The 5,978-nt window shown below is 42.4% G+C and overlaps 2 annotated features.

The window, feature by feature from the left end:
* Positions 4,058-5,257: an enhancer, noted in NCBI's record as "P300/CBP strongly-dependent group 1 enhancer chr16:80060683-80061882 (GRCh37/hg19 assembly coordinates)". NCBI's record gives its function as "activates an origin of replication core promoter dependent on BRD2, BRD4, P300/CBP, MED14 and CDK7 cofactors, with strong dependence on P300/CBP, by STARR-seq in HCT116 cells {active_cell/tissue: HCT116}" and the evidence as "EXISTENCE:reporter gene assay evidence [ECO:0000049][PMID:35650434]".
* Positions 4,489-4,548: an enhancer, noted in NCBI's record as "active region_11166". NCBI's record gives its function as "activates an Ori minimal core promoter by ATAC-STARR-seq in GM12878 lymphoblastoid cells {active_cell/tissue: GM12878}" and the evidence as "EXISTENCE:reporter gene assay evidence [ECO:0000049][PMID:35858748]".

The raw sequence follows: 5,978 nt of genomic DNA, 5'->3' as shown, positions 1-5,978 counted from the left end.
AGAGAGCTTATGAACTGGTGAACACCTTCTGCGAATACATAGCTCAGACTGTTAGACTTTTATCCCTCTACTTCCCTTTGAAGATTTTAGCCCCTCAAGTCTTGACTATTTAGAAGTCTAAACTTGAGTTTCTCGCTCCTCCACTCTGTAAGCCTGTCAGAAACTCAGCTCATCTTCTTGGTTTCTTAAAAATCTATCGCTACTTGGCTTCTCACTCTTTCTGCCCAGGATCCTTACAAATTGGTGTATGCCCCAAAGGAAAATGGTGAGTAGAGAGCTGTGCTAGCTTCAGTTAATTTTTCTTTTTTGCAGATCTTAGCCCTTGTTGTTTGGGGTACCTTGATGGCTCTTTAATGGTATTTAGGTTTTCTGGTCATTTTCGGCGAGGCTTTTGTTTACCATAGGCTAGTTTGCTATAACTGCAAGCAGAGCTTCCCCAGATCGACTCTGGATTCTTTATCCATAAGCGTGAGAGGACTAACAAGGGTGAAATGAGCCATCTTTCTGACCACAGAGAGTGCTTGTGAAAGCTTTCTTCACTTGTACCTGTGAGGAACCTGTCCTCAGCTCCATGTTGTATCTTAACATCTTGTCAGTCTTCCTGCCTCTCTGTTTTTCAATAAAGACATTTGCCTTGGCTGGCTGTGGTGGCTTATGCCTATAATCCCAACACTCTTGGAGGCCAAAGGGGGAAGATCACTTGAGCCCAGGAGTGTGAGACCAGCCTAGGCAACGCAGCAACAAAAGATAGAAAAAATTTAGCCAGGTGTGGTGGTGTGTGAGTGGAGTCCCAACCACTTCAGAGGCTGATGCAGGAGAATCCCTTGAGCCTGGGAGGTCAAGGCTACAGTGAGCCGAGATCGTACCACCACACTCCAGCCTGGGAAACAGGTCAAGATCCTGTCTCAAAAAAGAAAAAAATAATAATACGACCCTCACTTTTTGGATGAAAATATCATTGTTGCACTGGAAGTATAAACAGTATCTGGCTACGTTTTAAAATGTAAAGTTCTTATCTTTTAAAAGTAATCCTAAAACAATTAGAGATTAAATAATGAATACCTAAAATTTGATTTCAAATAATTCAGTGGAGATTCTATTCTATGTCAGAGTGTTTGAATATGTTCCTAATTTAAAAATTAGGCAAGTAAAAAAAGTCACAACCATGAAAAAATACTCTGACTTGCTACAGAATAAAAATCAGAACTCCTTAGCAATTATACAAAAACTCATCTACACCCCACTTAGCCAGTGGTCATGCCATGCTCTCAATCCTTTACAAGTGATGGTACCTTTGCTCCTTATCATTTCCATCCTAACATCCTTTTTAAAAAGCTGGCACTATTGTCTTTAGTATTGTTAGACCATGATCCCCACAAGAGGTTGAAGGAGAATGCACAAGCTGTTGGAGGCCTAGCAGAGCCCCTTTAGAGAGGTTTTCTAAACTGCCACATTTCATAAAGGCACAAGCAGGCATCTTCCAAACCACCGCCATCAAAATCAAGACCGACCTTGACAAAATCAAGGCCAACCTTGACTGTCTGCTGTGTGCAAAGCTTCCTGCCAGATGTTTTACCCAGGTTATCTCTGTAAACCCTCACAGCAATCCTGTGACTATTATTACATAGTATTCCTTTTTACAGGAAGGGAAACATGTTTAGAGAGCCTAAATAGCTAGAAGCAAGGGAACAGTTACCAACTAGCTAAACCAGGATTTAAACCTCAGGTGTCTGACACGAGAGTCTCATGATTAAGTGGTTCTCAAACTTGAACGTGCATCAGCCTCACCTGGAGGGCTTGTTAAAACACATGCTGCTGAGCCTTACTCCCTGAGTTTCTGATTGAGTAGACTTGGGGCAGGGCCCAAGAATTTGCATTTTAATAAGTTCCCGGGAGCTGCTGATGCTGTGTGTCCAGGGACTTCACTCTGAGAAACACTGTATTAGGATACATTGTACTTGGGTCAACGGTCATATGATTTGTTGTTCACAGATATGCAGGAAAACTTAGTGGTTTCTTCTTGGCCTGGGGGAGTCAGGAACTCTGCTGTGTTAAACATGGACCAAATGACCCATCGCTTTCGGTTCATTCACTCAGGACATGGGTTCACTCTGGTAATGGTCACGGCAGGAGACTGCCTGTTTCTTGGGCCTGGAATGCACTGAGTCCTTCCTGTTGACTGATAACAAGTGGCTAGCCTCATCTTGCAGCAACACGTCAGATGGTCCCTGTTTAGGAGCCATTTTGATGATAATTTTTGTAGGACTTGCCATTGCAATATTGACTCCATTAGGCTCCCTCATTAGTTCGTTCTTGCACAGATAGAAAGAAATACCAGAGACTGGGTAATTTATAAAGAAAAGAGGTTTAATTGGCTCATGGTTTCATAGGCTGCACAGGAAGCATGTCGGCACCTGATTCTGGGGAGCTCTTAGGAGGATTTTACTCATGGTGGAAGGCAAAGGGGAAGCAGGCTGTCTTACATGGAAGGAGCAGGACTAAGAGACAGATGGGAGGTGCCTCACACTTTTAAACACCGAGATCTCCTGAGAACTCATTCACTATGCAGTACCAAGGTGAGATGGTGCTAAACCATTCATGAGAACTACACCACCATGTGCCAATCAACTCCCCTCTAGCCACTCCTCCATCGTTGGAGATTACAATTCCACATGAGATTTGGGGTGGGGACACAGACCCAAACCATATCAGCCCCTATCTGGAAAGGCCTCAAGTGCAGCCACAGTAAATGTGTGAATCATTGCTCCTTTCCTAATCCCACCTGCTGTTTCAGCTTAGTTTTCCACTGTTATTTCCCTACTCCCAAAGCTCCTGCTGCACAAATCTCTTCTTTCTTCCCAGGGCATTGTTGTCAAGACTCTTGCAAGCTACTTAGAAATGTTTGCACTCAGCAAAGCCTTCTTGTATTCAAGAGGGTGAATGAGATAATGGCGATAGAGAGGTTTAGTGGCTATGGGGCCCTGCTGCTTAGCAGTTAAGAACCTGCCTCTCTTGTAATCCAGCTAGCATGCACTGGAGCTGGGTGGTCTGATAGAAGTTTCTTAAGTTGGTGCTTCCACTTTCCTCATTACCAAATAAGATAAAAAAATTACAATATTTCTGAGTTATTTGGACTGTTAAATGACTTAGCATATGCAAAAACCTTAACAAGGTGTCTGGCACAGAATAAGCCGCCACTGGCAAGAGTTCCTTCTCATGTATATGAAGGTCGTGCGCTTTGGAGAAAATGTGGAGAAAGGACATTTGGACTGGATCATGAAGTGATCCAGCTTATGGGCAGTGTTTGGGGTTTGGGTAAGAATAGTCTTTGTGGAAGGAATAACACAAGCAAAAGGAGAAAAATAGCCATGGGATGGGGGCATGGGAAGGGAGGGGTCTGAGAAAATGTGGAGGAAGGACATTTGGACTGGATCTTGAAGTGATCCAGCTTATGGGCGGTGTTTGGTGTTTGGGTAAGAATAGTCTTTGTGGAAGGAATAAGACAAACAAAAGGAGAAAAATAGCCACGGGATGGGGGCATGGGAAGGGAGGGGTCTCTAGCGAGGAGACTGTCTCTTGTCTATCCTGAGAGCCTCTTCTCCCCTTCTACCCACCATGAATCCTGGGCTACAAATAGGAGAACATCTCACTATTCTTAGGAGACCAGACCTTTGAGGTACATCATGCCTGGGCTTCCTCCCTCCACGCTTTGGAGCACTTTCTCTGACTCACTGGCAAGATCACCTCTTCTTTATGCACCATGCACAGAACAACCCTCTGTTTTCAGCCTTATCTTGCTGTATAATTATAATTATATATGTGTGTGATAGAGGGTCTTGTCTCCTTGTTGAACTGATTTTTTCCATGTTTATGAGGGAGCCATGTCCATCTCTATGTTCTCCATGCTTGACTCATGGTGGGGATTCCGTGGTTGTTGTCTGAAAGTATAAATAGACAATGAATGGATAAAGAAAGAGTTAAGTGAATACAGTATTTTCCCACTAAAGACTAGTCCAAAGCATAGTGTGAAAGCAGTATAATATAGAGCCATGTTCCTCAACAGGTGGGGCGTGGATCAGTAGCATCTTCCTCACCTGGGAGATTGCTAGAAATGCAGACTCCCAGGTCTCATCCCAGACCTGCTGAATCAGAATCTGCATTTTAACAGGATCCCGGGGTGATTCATGTACACTTTACAGTTTGAAAAGACTGGTCTAGTGGTTAAGAGAGAAAGCTCTGGAGACCGAGTTTCAATTCCAGATCTGTGTCTTACCCAGCTATGTGGACTGGACTTATTCCCTCAGGGCCTTAGTTTTCGCATCTTTCATATGGGCAAAATGATAGGAGCTCCTTCATTGTCTTGTTGTGATGATTAAATGTGTTAACATGTGTAAAATACCTTGCACGATGCTTGCCAAATGCAAGCATTCAGTGTTCAAAAAATAGTAGCAGTTGTTATTATTATTCATATCCTTCTGACTGCCCGTGAGACCGTGGAGAAAGAAAGGAAACCTCGCTGAAGATCTAAATAGACACTGCTCTGTGTTTCCTCTCCAAACCCGGTAGCTGGGTGGTGGGGACCGGCTGGCCTCTGGGCTGCCTCTTCCTGCATCGGGCCCCCTCAGTGGGGCACTGCTGACGTGAGCAGCGTGGCCCTTCTCTCTGCTGTCATGCCGCAAGCCCAGAGCTTCCTGGAGCTGAGGACATCAGCTAGACAGAGAGAACCACCCTTTCCCCGGCGCTGAGTCATGCTATCTCTATTCAGACAGGGATCAGGGCAGGTGGGAAACTCTACAGCCTGGCGGAGATGCCCCGGGCGAGGGATTGGGTGACTCATACTGGGACATGAGTAACACTTATTACATAAGGGCAGATCGAGAGTATTCAAGTGCCACACAAGCCTGAATCTGTCCCCACAGACTGGGGAGGGGGTTGTCAGGAAGGAGACTTGCCCAAAGACAAGTCCTGGAATCTCCAAAACAAGTTGGCCCCACTTCTCACGAGTTGCTTCTTTCACATATATGCCCAAGGACAATATCATCATCATCATCATTGATGTGGTTATAATTTGAAACAGGCAGATAAATTGCTTTTCAGGACTAGAAAAAACCTGTGGGTAACTTACTTTAACTTTTAGAGGTGCAGATTAATTAGCACCCAAACTTTGGAGATATGAAAAAGCAATAACTCTCCTTTTTAAGAGCTATGTAAAAAAAGTGAAGTCAATTTAAAAAGCAATTCAGTAGAAGAAATACATTTATTTAACAAACAAGGATAAAAATTTTACACTGATGAAATTAACAGTATTCCTCCTTCAACATATGCATATTCCAGGATTGTGAAGGTAGAGAGAGATGTATACCCACTGATGATGAGTGTGGCAAAAATCAATGGAAGCTTTCTGTCGTGAAGTTGGGCTTAAAAGTCTTGTGACATTGGACCTTCTAGGTTTAAGCTAAAGACGCAATCTGAAATAAAAAAGATAGTTATGAAGAGAGAAACGTTTTCTAAATTATTACTTATAATAAGGGAATACAGAAAGCACTTTTCAAATCCAACTATACAATTTGGTTTCGTCTATAAGTGGTAAATGTACTGGGCATTCAGCTATTGGAAAATCTTTTGAAGTCCTCAGTACTATAGAAGATCCTAGTGCTAAAATGCTGGGTTAAATGGTAAAGCAGAAAACAAAATTTTTAAAGCCTTAGGGTCAAAGCTACATTAACAACAACAAAAGGTCTCTCTACTCTGGAAAAAAATCCAACTGTAAAAGACTAGAATGAAACATAAAAATATTACCAGTAGTTATGGAAGTTCAGTGAACATTTTCCATCTTGATTAAATTTTCAAAACTTTCTGTACTTAACATGTCTTTATGACATAAATGTATATACAAAAGTATTATAAATAATAAATATCATATACACTTATTTAGAATATATATGAATATATAGTATAAAAGTGATATATAATATATA

This window comes from Homo sapiens, chromosome 16 (assembly GCF_000001405.40).
Source record: "Homo sapiens chromosome 16, GRCh38.p14 Primary Assembly".
In the NCBI taxonomy this organism is placed as follows: domain Eukaryota; kingdom Metazoa; phylum Chordata; class Mammalia; order Primates; family Hominidae; genus Homo; species Homo sapiens.
This window is presented reverse-complemented; position numbering and strand designations above follow the sequence as displayed.